The sequence below is a fragment of the Homo sapiens genome, chromosome 4, assembly GCF_000001405.40.
Source record: "Homo sapiens chromosome 4, GRCh38.p14 Primary Assembly".
Lineage (NCBI taxonomy): Eukaryota > Metazoa > Chordata > Mammalia > Primates > Hominidae > Homo > Homo sapiens.
Window position 1 is genome coordinate 41,067,181 of NC_000004.12, and position 16,445 is coordinate 41,083,625.

The following is a 16,445-nucleotide window of genomic DNA, read 5'->3' on the forward strand; positions in this document are numbered from 1 at the left end:
AGGCGGATCACCTGAGGTCGGGAGTTCGGGACCAGCCTGACCAACAGGGAGAAACCCCATCTCTACTAAAAATACAAAATTAGCTGGGCATGGTAGTACATGCCTGTAATCCCAGCTACTCAGGAGGCTGAGGCAGGAAAATCGCTTGAACCTGGGAGGCGGAGGTTGTAGTAAGCTGAGATCGTGCCATTGCATACTCCAGCCTGGGCAGCAAGAGTGAAACTCCGTCTCAAAAAAAAAAAAAAGAGAGAGAAATTGAAGCGTGGAAGATTCAGGGGGAGATACTGAGATATTCTTGAGCGTAAAGCCTGGAGAAGCAGCTTGAGAAAAACATAAAGGCATAAAAGTGATTACAACATAGAAAGGAGCAGAGATTGTGTCAGTGAGTGACGTCACTGCAGGAACATAGACAGAAGGAGAACATTACAGGATCAGTGCAGAATCCTGGAGAACACACATAACAGAATGTGCAGAGGAAAACCATCTTTTGAAGAAGACCCAGGAAGAATGGTAGAGAGGTACCACGGGATAGAAAGAGATGAATAAAGATAAAAAATGAAAAGTATACCTTTGGATTTGACATTTAAGAAGTCACTGTCCACCTTGATGGAGAGCTGTTTTAGTGAAGTGGTGGAGGCAGAGATAACAGAATAAACAGAGCAAGTGGAAGAGCCCAGGAAAGGGAATGCGTGGCTGCTGGAAGAGACTAAGTGCTCACAGCGCATGGCTACAGGCTGAAGGACTCAGTTCAGGGGGAGAGGCTGAAAGTCTAAGGGGGAAGAGGTAAAGATGGCCTGAGATCTCAAAAGAGGTGGGCCAAAGGGTCAGGAGTACAGATGAAGGGACTGACCTCGAAGAAGAGGGGAGTCCACAATCCTCGGATATTAGAAGGAAAGTACAGTAGCTCCCCTTTGTCCATGGGGGATGCATTCCAGGATCCCCAGTGGATGCCTGAAATCATGGATAGAACCAAGCCCTATCTACCTATACTATGTTTTTTCCTATACATATGTACCGATGATAAAGTTTAATTTCTAAATTAGGCACAGTAAGAGATTAACAATGATACCCAATAATAAAATAGAGCAAGTGAATGTGGTCTCTATTTCTCATAACTATCTTAGTGTACTGTACTATGGGAAACTGCAATCACAGAAATGAAACTGGGTAAGTGGGGGCTACAGGAAAGATAAATCTGGCTATAGTAAGTTCATAATGAATAGTATTGGGATTTGGAGGCAATAGACCAAATTGCATCAATGTTTCTAGAAAATAGTTGGCAACGTCTCTTTGTTGAGAATGAGATGACAGGTAAATGGTCTGAGGACATGGATCTTGAAATTCTTGGTTTCTGGCAAGCAATCCCCCCAAATTAAAGTAGTCTAAGTCTGTTTTAAGGTAAACAAACAAACAAGGCAGTTTGTACCAAGATAGAAAAGAGCATTTATAAGTTTTACCCCTAAGAGTAGAACTTCAGAGTATCAAAAAATACTATTATAAGCAAAAGATCTGGAAGATGTCTTTTCTTAAAATGATCTCAGGCTTTGGGTGTCAACATTTCCAAAGGTGTACGTGTAGTTTAATTAAGCAAAACTATTACCAACCATCTTTTTTTTTTTTTTTTTTTTTTTTTTGAGATGGAGTCTCGCTCTGTTGCCAGGCTGGAGTGCAGTGGCGTGATCTCAGCTTACTGCAACCTCCGACTTCCTGGTTCAAGTAATTCTGCTGCCTCAGTCTCCTGAGTAGCTGGGATTACAGGCACATGCCACCATGCCCAGCTATTTTTTGTATTTTTAGTAGAGATGGGGTTTCACCATGTTGGCCAGGATGGTCTCGATCTCTTGACCTTGTGATCTGCCCGCCTCGGCCTCCCAAAGTGCTGGGATTACAGGCGTGAGCCACCATGCCTGGCCCTACCCACCATCTTAGAAAGCTTCTTGAATTGCTCCAATTCAAAGGTCCTTCCTACCATGGATAAACTACTGAAAATGAAAAAGAGGCAGACATTTGAGAGTAAAGGCAAGAAGGAAGGGAGAATGGGTTGGCAGTGGCACCTGCCACTGAGACTTCCTAGCTGCCTCTTAAAACAGTAGTTATGCCATCCCACTGTGATCTCCTGAACGCTTTTCCATCTAGGGTTTTAGCCAATTCAGAAATGGAGTGGAGTGACTTTATACTTGGAAAGTATCCCAGTAATGCCAAAGGAGCAAGATTCATTAGAAACCCGATGCGATGGAAAACACCTGGAAAAGCAGCTTTTATGTTCCCCAGACAGCCTTTGTGATCTCAAAAACTCTAAGACTGCTCTGCGGTTTGTCTATTCTGTTAACAGGAACAAGATCCAGGCCATTTCTGGAACTTGAAAGGATTTTAGAACCAATGCTATCTGCACTGAAGTCAGTCAGGACAGAGATGGTTTCAAAGGCATCAGATGCCTACTAACTGGAACACTCATCTCTGTATCCTCGGGGCATAGGATGTAGTAAGCAGTCAATAAATGTGAAATAAATCAATAAACCAATACATTAGTGAAAAGCTTTCACAACTAGGAGGTAAGGAGGCCAATTAAATGGTGAGAACAGAAATAGTCTATTTCTTCTTTTCCTACCCTAACTGACTCAAAGCAAAGCTGCAAATCACATTCAGCTGCATTTATACTTTTCACAGAAGAAAATCTTTATGAACTCATAAATATGAACTTGTAAGTAAATACTGCATGTTAAGTGGGAGGACTCAGAAATTATGAAACACAAGATGCCTCTTAAATGGGAAAATAGATGGGTATGAACATTTTGAGGACACAAAGCAACAGAAATTGCAGACTTTACATCTGTCTGCCTTCTTTGTCATCCTCCCCTGTGAAGGACAGGACATCATTACTCTCACAGCATGGTGCCTCTCCTCCCAGATGCTCATTCACACAACCCACTTCAGTTTAACCTGCTGGGGCAGTAAGATAAATAGTCATGAGATAACCAAGTCTCGCTTCCTTGAAAATTTTAAAAATTCACCTTGGTTGCAGGTCTGTTTTAGTCCTAATATATATTTCTATTACTCACAATTTTACTTCTTTTATAATAAAAGAAGCCCTGAGGTATCATGATCTTACTGGACACATTTTATTTTATTTTACTTATTTATTTTTTGAGACAGAGTTTCACTCCTGTCGCCCAGACTGGAGTGCGGTGGTGAGATCTCGGCTCACTCCAGTCTCCGCCTCCTGGGTTCAAGTGATTCTTGTATCTCAGACACGCAAGTAGCTGGGATTACAGGCATGCACCACCACACCCGACTAATTTTTAGTAGAGACAGGGTTTTACCACATTGGCCAGGTTGGTCTTGAGCTCCTGACCTCAAGCGATCCACCCGCCTCGGCCTCCCAAAGTGCTGGGACTACAGGCGTGAGCCACCATGCCTGGCCTGAACACATTTTATATTACGCAGCAGCACAAGGTAATATTTGTCTAAAAATAACTTTAATAATAAAGCTTCCAAAGGTGAGGAATAGTTTTTTTTATTAGTATGTACCACGTGACATTTTTCTGAACTGTTAAAAAATAACTTGATCCTGAAAACATCAAATCTGATTGTGTCCATCTGACTAGCAATATCTCGGGAAGGAAATCAACCTTTGAGACTTCTTTCTACTCTTAAGAACGCTAAGATCAAGATAAATATACGCTATTCACTTGAATGCAAGCCATCAAGGAAAGGAAGGGAATATATTTGCCAGTCTACAAAGTGTTTAGTGTGCAGCTTTTTAATTACTGCATTTACGGTACTAGCCATAATATATTCACTATCACAAATGCTCTACAAAGTCATTAATCCTCAACAAATACATTAATGCTTCCCTCCTCTCCTACAAGTTCTTACTATGCTGATGTGGGGCAAAAATGCCAAGAATTCTCTCCAAAGTAAACATTTCATGCCAACAGCCACTAGTTCTACAATGCTCATTTCACTATTTTAAGATATGTAATAGCTCTGCTTAAGCATTTCCTGCTGTTGACCTAAAAGATAAGTTTGTACACAAAAAATTTTTAAATGGCTTTACTTAAAGCAACAATTTTTAATAGAAAGGTGATGTAAGCTATCTAAAAGGTTGCTTATGCTCTTCCAAAATAATATATTCTATAATTCAATAATTATAATTCTCTGCATCATTCTGCAGTTATAGTACAATATAATTTCTGCTTTTTAAAATCTCCAGGAATAGGCCGGGCACGCTGGCTCACACCTATAATCCTAGCACTTTGGGAGGCCAAGGCAGGCAGATTACCTGAGGTCAGGAGCTCGAGACCAGCCTGGCCAACATGGCGAAACCCCATCTCTACTAAAAATACAAAAATTAGCCAGGCGTGGTGGCGGGCACCTGTAATCTCTTCCACTTGGGAGGCTGGGGCAGGAGAATCGCTTGAACCCGGGAGGCAGAGGTTGCAGTGAGCAGAGATCATGCCACTGCACTCCAGCCTGGGTGACAGAGCGAGACTCTGTCTCAAAAAAAACAATTAAAATTTTTTAAAAAAAATCTCAAAGAATAAGACATTGAGAATGATCACGATTTTCAAAACAGCTGAAGGATTACCCATTTAAGTATCAAAATGGGTTTAATTTCAACCATAGTGGATTAATTTTTTTTTCTAAAAGGTAATGCCTTCTTCAGAGAATCCAGAATATGATTAATCTTTGTTTGGTGACACAGGATCATCAACATGACTATAAATTACTTGCTCTGCTGGAACATGAGAATACTAACTCCAAGGAAAAGGAGTGGCAGCAGTTACTGGGTAGGAGCTGGGTTTCTACCACCACAAAGAGAGCTGGATGGGGAGTTACTACTAAAGCACAGGGTGCAATGAGAATCAAAAGGAAGAGACTGCTGAAGTTCTCACAACAAGGAAAGCACAGATATAAATACACTCTGGAGAGCCCAAGGGGAAATCCAAGTTACAGAGCCAGGTCTGAAGTCAAGAGCTGTGGCCGACTAGAGTCAGGATCTGAGTTGGAGATAAATTGATGGCGAATAGAGGGAGAGGGTGTGAAGTTGGCTTTGTGTGTATCCTGCTGGTAACTGGGTTTAACCTGCCCATTAAAGGCCAGTGGCAAGACAGCTGTTCTCAGAAGCTTCTGAGGCAACAGAGGGCTGTTTATTCCTCTACTCAAAGGCAGATGGCGGCTAGGCTTTGGGGATATGTGTCTGCCTTTCACAGTCTGGCTATCTCCTCTCCTTTGTCCTAAAGAGTTGCATCTCATTTCTGTTATAGTACCAACCTTTCCCTTCTTCAAGTCAGCTATGATTTTGGAATTCAAATAAAATAATGAAGTGTAAGAGAACGAAACTTAAAATACCAAGCTCCAGATAAGATCTGAAGGGCACAGGGCACGGCCTCTGAACACATACTTGGGCTGTTGTGATGCCTTTTTTGTTTATTTCTTGGTTCTTAGGGAATTCAAATAGTGTTCCTTAAGCAGAACTCATTTGAAGTCATTTAGCCAAGCCTAAAAAACCTGCCCGGAGCGTGTTATTTCTAAGTGACCACTGTTATTTAACAAGCACCTCCTTTGGAGAAATTCAATAAGCAGAATCTCCAGAAACACAACAAAACCAATTGCCCTGATGTGAACAATCTAGAAATGTGGGAACAAACTCAGAACCTGAAGAAAGGGAGGACTTTACCATTGCATACATTAAGTGACTGTTGGCAAATCAATTAGCCTTCCAAGCCTCATCTGTAAAATGGGCTAAGGATATCTGCCTTGCAAAGGTATGATTGAGAACAAAAGGAAAGGCTCAGAAGAGATCTACAAATACGAATTACACCTTAATTAAGTGGTAACAAATGTGAATTACACCTTAATTAAGTACATAACCCCCTACAACACACAGATCTTTATTTAGACCTTTTTTTAGACTAGGTCTTGTGCCTAGTAGTTTCTATCCAACTTTCACCACCCCAGATAAGATTCTTTTTCCCAATTATTTCCACAGAACATTCTTCTCGGCTAAAAAATATTTTTTACTTCACTGCTCATATAGCAAGAACAACTACTCCTGAATTTTCAGAGTAAAAAAAACCTAGAATGTAAAAATTCCCCATTATGATTTTCCCATTTTGTTTCTTCTTAACAACTTCCTATCTAAGTTCTTTTCTCTTTCTCCCATTTTTCTTTATAGCATCTTTGTGGATCTTATTTTCTCACTTTAAGTTCAACACTTGCTGTAATGTGATTTAGCAGTTTACAAGGCACCTTCACATATATTACCTTATTTCCCTTAAATTTCTTCTATTCTCTTTGTTTCTTGCCTTACTTTCAGAAATACAAACAGAACTTTCTAAAATCAGCAAAGAAGCAATTTTTCACCTTCCAACTGCCAACATACTAATACACAATACTTGGCAGAGCTGTCCAAAGCAAGTCAGACCACATACAGTATACCTAAATCCTGACACCTCCAACTCTCTTAACAAATAATTTTTTTTCTCCGTGGTAATGGTCTCTTGGAAGTTAAAATATAGTGAGAAATGTGTAAACATACCAATATATTAAAATAAGACAAGTGAATCCCTTTAAGAATCATGAAAAATAATTAACAACAACAACAAAAGAAAAAAACAGCAGGAGGCCCAGTGAGGTGGTTCACACCTGTAATCTCAGCATTACAGTGTGTAATGAATACAATGATACAATGAAGCTAAAGTAGTAGGATCACTTGAGGCCAGCAGTTCAAGACCAGCCTGGGCAATGTAGCAAGACCTCATCTCATCAATTAAGCAGTCAATCAATATGCTAGCAAGTCGGGTGTGATGACACGTGCCTGTAGTCTCAACTACTTGGGAGGCTGAGGCAGGAGGATTGCTTGAGCCCAGGAGTTCAAGGCTACAGTGAGCTATGATGGTGCCACTGCACTTCAGCCTGGGTGACAGAGCAAGACCATCTCTAAACAAACAAACAAAGGAATAAGAGGTTGAAAACATTAGCAGAAAGAAAAAAGAAGGAATAAAGTTGTTATTTTTGCTTCCAGTAAAATTTCCATCATCTTTCTTACCAGAGCTGTTCTTCCCCAAGCTCTGCATTAAATAATCTGGTCATTAAATCTGTGAAAACCACAAGGGATGTGCCCATCTCATTAAAAAAGATGATCATTTGAGCTATGATAATGAGAAAGAGCATCTATTTTTGGTTTTAAGGACAGAAGTACTTCCTGCCTGTTGCTCAGAGCAGCGACACTTCTAGTTAGCTTTAGCACAAAACAGATGCCCCAGCACTCTTTATCATAGTGACAACAGGAACCTGCAAATAGAAAGATTTCGTCTCAGAACTTCTACATACTCTCAATCTATTGATTTATCAACAAAGAACATGAGGCGTCTGAAACAGAAAAATATTAATTCTACCATATGAAGGCAAATATTATTATTATTATTTTTTTTTTTTTTTTTTTGAGATGGAGTCTTGCTCTGTCGCCCAGGCTGGAGTGCAGTGGCACCATCTCGGCTCACTGCCAGCTCCGCCTCCCGGGTTCACGCCATTCTCCTGCCTCAGCCTCCCGAGTAGCTGGGACTACAGGCATCCGCCACCAGTCCCGGCTAATTTTTTGTATTTTTAGTAGAGATGGGGTTTCACCATATTATTGTTTTTTTTAAAAGGATTTTTGTAAACTCTAGATTAGAAATTAGATCAGGCCCAGCATGGTGGCTCATGCCTGTAATCCCAGCACTTTGGGAGGCCGAGGTAAGTGGACCACCTGAGCCCAGGAATTCCAACACAAGCCTGAGAAACATGGCAAAACTCGACTCCACAAAAAATTATCTGGCCACGTGTCTGTAGTCCCAGCTACCTGGGGGGCTGAGGCAGGAGGACTGCTTGAGCCCAGGAGGGCGATGCTGCAATGAGTCATGTTTGTGACAATGCACTCCAGCCTGGGCAACAAGAGTGACACTCTGTCTCCAAAAAAACAAAAGAAATCAGATCAGATTCCCCTATATTCATTCAAACTCTGGAGATACAAAACCTTTAAAATTTGAATTGATTGCCCTTTGACTTTACAATGGTTGAACAAGACCCAAAAATAATTTTACAGTAATCTTTGATACACATTAATAATATATTAAACATAATTTTAATAAATCAGTTGTTATTCCTAAAATTGAAGTACTAATGAAATTTAAGGAGAAAAGTTGAAAGATAATACTCGGCCTTGATTCTGCTGTGGTGTTTACATGTTCAATGATGGAAGCTTCTGGCACATAAAACTTTCTGCATTTTGTAAGAGATACTCTGGGTGATTTGAGCATGGGAATGGAGAAGAACATCAAGGGTCCAACATTATTCATGGAATCTACAGAGATGCCTCAAGGAAGCTCAGTTCCCTATAGAACACAACTGGGACCACTGGATAAAGGGGCTCTTAGAAAAGAATGTTTTCTTCCAGCTTGGACCCAACTCAAGTCAACCTAATAGGAAATCTAAGAAAAACTGACCCAACTGTGATTATGGCTCCAGGCAATGAAGGTCATTATTTTTTGTAATGGTGGAAATATTATGTTACGCTTATAACTGGGTCTGAGGTCAGACTTGGAATGTATACTTTAGAGATAACTGACCTTTTTTCTATTATATTCTCAAACCAACAAAACAGTATCACTTAGTTCATTTTGACAGTGAGAGTAATAATCTCTGAATAAAACTGAAAAGTATAGAGTGATCAAATGAACTCTTCCTTAATGGACCAGATAACCAGGTATCTAAATTGAACTGAATCTCACAAGTTGATCACCAGGGATTATCAGGTACATGTGATAGATTACAACCCGGTGCTTATCTCCATTCCCTCCCAAAACCACCCCTAAATGACAGTAAGTGAGAGGCAGAGATAAGTTCATGAGAAGAGAGAATGGAAGAGGACAAAATTCATGGAAAACATTTTTGGAAAATGGCCCAATGATGAGTGAATTTTCAAAGCAGGGGCAGACAAAACATAAACGTCTATAGACAGAATTGTCAGGAAGTAACAAACCAGTATGCGGCAAAGAACTTGAGGAAAGTGTAAGTTAAGACACAGTTAAGTGGGGTTTGGATGAGAAGACAGGATGGAGGCAGCACTGAAAACTGGGGGATGGCTTGCAAGTCATTTTAAGGAGTAAAACTCCATATCTTTGCTAAACCATGAAGCTTGCTATGCCCCTCCTCCCACCTCAGCAAAGGTTAAGCTTGAGAAGATCTGCACTCGGGGACACTAGGAACAGTGACCAGGTGGAGGGACTGACTGAAAAAGAGAAGGACTAAGTGGAACTATGCACTCCACAGCCCCTTCCTCTGCTGGGTTCCCAGAGCACTGGCCAGTAGGAGATTGGTACTGGAGACTTTTCTGGAGAAACTAACCTGCCCAAGAAAAGAGATCTACAGATACCAAAACTGGAAGACAAGGTGACTTCTGAAAAGAGGTGGTCATCTTATGCGAGGCCACCAATTGACAAAGCCTTGCTTTGTGCCTCCTCATGAATAAAGATGACAAGATGAACACCAAGCATGTGAAATAGGGTCCAGCATGACAGACAGGAACTTCAGGAGGGAACAGGGTCAATGCAGGGAGAAGACTTCAAATATACATAATTAAGAACCCCAAGAGGGTAAAACATATTGCATCCACAAAGCAATAAAGAATGGATGCTATAAAATACAGATACTGTGAGAACAAGAAAAAGCTCCTAGAAATTAATATTATAATCACAGAAATAAAAAAATCAACAGAGAGGTTAATAGATAATAGAGGTAAATGTTCCCCTAAAGTAGAACAAAAAGATAAAAGGATAAAAATCAGGATTTTTTTTTTTTTTGAGACACAGTCTTGCTCTGTGGCCCAGGCTGGAGTGCAGTGGTATAATAGTAGCTCACTGCAGCTTCGAATCCTTGGGCTCAAGTGATCCTCCCACCTCAACTTCCCGAGTAACTAGGACTACAGGCGCATACCACCACACCCAGCTAATTTTTTTTTTTTTTTTTTTGGAAGAGATAAGGACTCACTATGTTGCCCAGACTTGTCTGGAACTCCTGGGCTCAGGCAATCCTCCCACCTTGACCTCTGAGAATGCTGGGATTACAGGTGTAAGCCCACACACAGCCAGGGATTTTTTTTTAAACAATAATTACATTGGAGAAAAAAATCCAAGAGTTCCAGCATCTGACAAATAGGAACTCCAAAAAAGAGAACAGTCTTCACAATGAATGAAAAAGTGACATACCAAGGTGGATTACAAGAAAAGCTCAGAACACTGGGGGATTTTTAAATACCCTAAAAGCATCCAAAAAGAAAAGAAACAAGTCACATACAAAGTACATAGAGTCAGAAGAGCATGCAACAATTCTGTAACAAAATTGGAAGCAGAAGAAAATGGAACAAACCCTCTAAACTCCCAGGGAAAGTAATCTCCAACTTTAAATTAGATTATCAATCATATGTAAGGGAAGACCAAATGATATTTTGACACATGCCAGATCTCAAAAAAATTCCATCTACACATGCTTTCTCACAAAGCAGCCAGGCAATGTGCCTCCCCAAAAGAGGGTCAAAACCAAAAGAGATGGCATCCAATAAACAGGTCAATCAAGAATTCCCAACGTGATTGCTAAGGACAAATTCCAGGTCAACAGCTGTGCATAGGCCTCAAGAGTAAACAGTCCAGAACAGAATGAGCAAGCAGAGAGCCCAAGAAAAATGTCACATGCACACATGCAAGAACCAAGAGATGTGCCATTGTGTTTGACCTTATTTGAGAATTTGGGGATAAATAAATAGTAAATAAATAGAATACCAAGCAACAAAATTTTAATGTGCTATACAAGAAAGAAAATAAAATAACAGTATCCTGCATAGCTCAGCTGTGAAAAATATTTACAGTGAAAACAAACTGAGATATAACTATCTTAGAGAGTACAAGCGCAGGTATTTAAGGGAGGAAGAATAAAAGAAAGATAAACCCCTCTCTTCCTCAATGGAATTCATGTTTAATGACTAAAATGGAAAAAAAAAATTCAAGAATTACCAATATAAACATATTAATTTGCTACAAGGAAGTAAATACCAGAAGAAGAGCTAAATGAACTAAGGAGTAGTTGCTTCTGAGAAGTGGAAAACGGCAATGCAAATCCGTGGGCAAGAATTTGTAAGCTATATACATGTATAATTGCAATTAAAAAATCAACTTTTAAAAGGGTAGAAGTTCATCAATGAAACATATAAACCACCCAACTGTATAAGACAAATTGATAATGTGAAATTTCATTTTCTACTATAAACAAGGAAACAGATAAGTCTTAATCTGCTCCTCCTAGCTAATCCAATTGTTAAAATTCAATTTAGTGCATCTTGTTATTTAAGGACCACAGTGTGAGAGGTCAAATATGCCTAAATCTTCACACCTCTAGTTTTAGTTAACACATGGTGAAGGGGACCCTGGACACCAGTGCACAAGGAACAACTGGCCGTCTTAGTTAAATAGAGTTCATTAACCACAGCTTCATATGGATAAACACCTTGGCCACTGTAACACCTCCCCTTCTACCAGAGTGCTTACTGAAGCTTCTTATGGTGACTTTTATCCTTATGTCGGGAGAAGGACTGGGAAATGGCCGGCATCTAAACTCTGTTCCCCTATGTTTGGGGAATTCCTCATCATGTGAGTTCTGATGAGAGGCACATCTCTCAACATAGAAGCAAAAATGGCTAGACACTAACATTCCCAGAGTGTCTTATAGCCAAGGCTTGCACATGACTTAGCCGTGGTCAACCCTGAATCTAGAACCAGAGACATAAAGAGGCAGGAGCAGGAGGGAAATTACCATGGGTGAGGGCAATGGCAACAACACCCACTGCTCAGAGGCAGCAAAGGCTGAAGTGACAGAGTTGGTACCAAGTGTCTGATCCTGAAGAGATGGTCAGCACGAACACTAATGTCCAGTGTTCAGTGACAGGGTCTACCCAACATAGAACTAATCTTATTGTATGACCTTGGCTATGAATCTGGCTGTGCAGTCTCTTTTTAGTGCCTGTTCTTTCCCCCAACTTGGGTAAATTCAGAATGTACCCAATATCTTCTCAATAAATTATTTCTTTGCTTAAACCATTAAGCTAGTCTCTGTTGCTTCTATCCAAGAACCCTGATTGATACATTGCTCCAGGATACACAGGTAGAGATAGGTAGCCATCCACTGAAGTTAAGAATGAAATGTTTGTTTCATAAGATTTCAAAGCAGAACAAAGAAGATTTTTCCATAGAGAAACATGGGGGAAGGTTAAGCTTTAAGATACAGATAAAACTGTTTGTGGAACGTTAAGGGTTACCAAAGTTTTGGTAGGCTCATCAATTTTTTTTTTTTTTTTTTGAAATGGAGTCTCGTTCTGTCGCCAGGCTGGAGTGCAGTGGCACAATCTCGGCTCACTGCAACCTCCACCTCCCAGGTTCAAGTGATTCTCCTGCCCCACCCTCCCAAGTAGCTGGGACTACAGGCGCAGGCCATCACACCCAGCTAATTTTTGTATTCTTAGTAGAGACGGGGTTTCACCGTGTTGTCCAGGATGGTCTCGATCTCTTGACCTCGTGATCCACCTGCCTTGGCCTCCCAAAGTGCTGGGATTACAGGCGTAAACCACCGCGACCGGCCAGCTCACCTATTCTTTATATTAGTTTCTACCATTAGCCAACCCATTCAGAGTTCTAAACCACTAATTGACCTCACAACAACCTCACTTTGGAAATGTAAGCAGCTTGTGAATCGGGAGCTGCCACTGTTTGCGTGTGGCCAGAGACATGCTCAGATTCTTACTGTTGTGAATGGGCAGAAGAGTAGTGGGTGAGGAAGAACAATTTTCTTTGTCTTTCCACTGAAACACAGCTTTCAGAGAGACGAGGCAGTTTGAAAACCAGTGGTCAGGAACTACACGACTATGAAAATGCAAACCAAGGCATCCAAAGATTTACATTCAACTGTAGAAACATCAATATTGCTGAAAAGCTACACCCATCAATTCAGCATTCTGCAGCACATTTAGTTCCCAGTCTGAGAACACTGAACCTGGGCAATTTATCTGCATATGCCTCAGGCTAACCACACAAATTTTGCAGACAAAGCTAGAAGTTAAGATAGAGAGCTTAGAATGCACTGTTGATGTGACCAAAAGGGCTTCATAAAGGAATCAAATGCAGTAATGACATTAATAGAAATGTGGATGCAGAGAAAGAAAGTCTCTGTGGTGCCCCACTGTCTCTGAAAACTGAGGACGGCTTTCATGACAAAGAAGTAACCTTTTGTTAGCTGTACACAACAAGATCATACAAACCCGATAAAGAGGGCTTGCAAAATAAATGCAAAGCTTGATGCCTGCATATAATTTTCCCTCCTGTGGTGTTATTTCATAAAGACTTGTCAAGAGATCAATCCCTCAGTCACAAAAGTCAGGCTACACATCACCTTGGGGGACAATTATTTAATTTCAGTTGGTGATGTAAATGCTCCTTTTTTTTTTTTTTTTTTTTAAAGATGTTGTTTCACTCTTGTTGCCCAGGCTGGAGTGCAGTGGCATGATCTCTCCTCACCGCAACCTCCACCTCCCAGATTCAAGCAATTCTCCTGCCTCAGCCTCCCGAGTAGCTGGGACTACAGGTGCCTGCCACTACACCAGGCTAATTTTTGTATTTTTAGGAGAGTTTTTTTGTTTTAGGAGATGTTTTGTATTTAGGAGATATTTTTGTATTTTAGGAGTTTCACCATGTAGGCCAGGCTGGCCTGGAACTCCTGACCTCAGGTGATCCACCTGCCTCGGCCTGTAAATGCTACTTCAAATTTGACCAATTGCCAAACTACCTTTACCACACATTCTTCTACGTAGTCAGTTCTCTTGACGTATCTAATGGCCACTAAAACAAGAGTTTCATTCCACAGCTGTCCAAGTGAGTTACACTATGCTCACATGGTATTTTGAAGAGCTGAGATAAATTTATCTCAGTCAATCCCAGATTATTCCTCTCTTGCTTCATTTGAAGATCACACAACAGGACAGTGATTCTGCACAGCAGTGTGTGTGTGTCTGTGTGTGTGTATGTGTGTACGTGTGTACACATGTGTGAAACTGTACAATCTAATCACCACAGCTCTGCAAAGAACATGGCACAATTCTATTCAGGTTTCAGAAATGGAAAGACAAAAAGGGAAAAAAAATCCCAAGAAATCATTCTCAAAAGCTGTTTCCAGAATACCTTCTTGAGAAATTTAAAAGTAGGGTCCACTTTGTAATGCATGCGTATAAAGGAGGTAAATTCATAGCTAGCTAATCACCTTTAATGCTAGAACCATAAATGGCTATTTCCAAAATATATTCATTGTGTCAAATGCCTGAATTGATACTTAGTTATATAAAATTTTTTTTCCATCTCAACAAAGCTTTAAGACAGCCTCCAAACATTTATACACAGGGGTTTTACCTTGTCCAGTGAAGGTTCTACTTCCAACCAACACAAGTACCAGAATTTTAAACTTTTACTATAAAAATCTCTATGGGATTATATAATCTTTCAACCATCTTAACTTGAAATTTTTTTAACTAAACAAATATGACAAGACAGAATTAAAATTGCATTGATCATAGAATATCAACTGATAGTCAATGAAGTACTAAGGAAAGTATAAATTGGTGAAATATTGTCATTCGTTTAAAAAACTACAATTAAAAGCAAGTCAAATGAACTACCGATACTTTGACACCTACTACAAATACAGCAGATTGTAGTAGGTATAGAAAGGAAAAAGACTTGTGACACAGTTACTGGCAACAGGGAACTTAGTATATTGGAGGAACATGACACAGTATGTTGGAGGAACATGACACGGAACTCTAGACAAACATTGGATCACAGGACACACGTTTAGACTTAAAAGGAAGTTATGGATAGGTCAGGAGGGGCCATTTTCTGTCAGATAAACCTATTAGACACATTTTAAAAACGTAACATGGTATGTCCACACCTCATAACTTAAAAGAACACCAATCAACAATGCTCTCAAAGTAAATTACATGCTAAGAAACTTTAACCCTTATCTTTCCAACATCCCTCATCACACAGTACTTATTTTTGATAAGTTTGAGTCTCCCACTATGCAACAAAATATCAAACATCGGGGGGTGTCCTATTTAACTTTGATTCCTTAGCTCTTGGAACCTATGGAACGCATAATGATCCAGTGTATTTTCTTGGAGGATATATAGCTGAGTGAAAGAATGAATGAACAGTGTTATAATAGCAGCTGTTAATTTGAATTTATTTGAATATAAAGATTGATTCTTCACAGTAAAACACAGTTCAGGAGGCTTCTACAAAGTTATGTTTCTTTTTTTTTTTTTTTTTTTTAAGAGTTAGTGGTCCTGCTCTGTCACCCAGGCTGAAGTACAATGACACAATCATAGCTCCCTGCAGCTTCAAATCCCAGGGCTAAAGAGATCCTCTCCAAAGTTATATTTCATAAAACAAATGGCCAAAATTAATGATAAAATTAATAAAAATATGCAAAAGAGTTGTTCACTGAAGCATTATTCACAAAAGGAAAAATGGCAACAATCTAAATTTTCAGCAGCTGGGCGGCATGCAGTTTTATTATGGTCATACACTGATAGATTATGGAACTATTAAAAATGACAAATATAGGCTGTGCACGGTGGCTCACTCCTGTAATCCTAGCACCTTGGGAGGCCGAGGCGGGAAGATCACTTGAGGTCAGGAGATCGAGACCATCCTAGCTAACATGGTGAAACCCCATCTCTACTAAAAATACAAAAAAATTAGCCAGGCATGGTGGCGCATGCCTGTAGACCCAGCTACTCAGGAAGCTGAGGCAGGAAAATGGCGTGAACCCGGGAGGCGGAGGTTGCAGTGAGGAGAGATCATCCCACCGCACTCCAGCCTGGGCAACAGAACAAGACTTTGTCTCAATACATAAATAAATAAGACAAATATGAAGGCCTGAAACAAAGAGAAATTAAGATATAACAGGAATAAAAAAATAAGTAGACCAAAGTAGTATGTATGCTATAGCTACAAACAGATAAAAATATGTACACATGTAAAAAGACGGGAATGAAATACATACAAAATATACTTGTTAAAGTATATAGCTTTAGGGCTTACAGGTCATTTTTTTCCACTCTAAACTTTTTCTAAAACTGTTACATTGTGGCCGGGTGCAGTGGCTCACGCCTGTAATCTCAGCACTTTGGGAGGCCAAGGCAGGTGGATCACTAGGTCAAGAGATCAAGACCATCCTGGCCAACATGTGAAACCCCGTCTCTACTAAAAACACAAAAATTAGCCGGGCACGGTAGCCCGCACCTATAGTCGCAGCTACTCAGGAGGCTGAGGCAGGAGAATCGCTTGAACCCAGAAGGTGGAGGC

General features: G+C 40.2%; 1 protein-coding gene across 48 annotated transcripts in view, besides 1 other annotated feature; it reads right to left on the reverse strand.

Moving 5' to 3' along the window:
• APBB2 (amyloid beta precursor protein binding family B member 2) overlaps positions 1-16,445 on the reverse strand; it is a 404,516-nt gene that overhangs the window by 257,154 nt on the left and 130,917 nt on the right. The window lies entirely within an intron of this gene.
• Positions 2,599-3,149: an enhancer, noted in NCBI's record as "OCT4-NANOG hESC enhancer chr4:41071796-41072346 (GRCh37/hg19 assembly coordinates)". NCBI's record gives its function as "activates a minimal SCP1, AML or CMV promoter by ChIP-STARR-seq in primed H9 embryonic stem cells {active_cell/tissue: H9 hESC(primed)}" and the evidence as "EXISTENCE:reporter gene assay evidence [ECO:0000049][PMID:30033119]".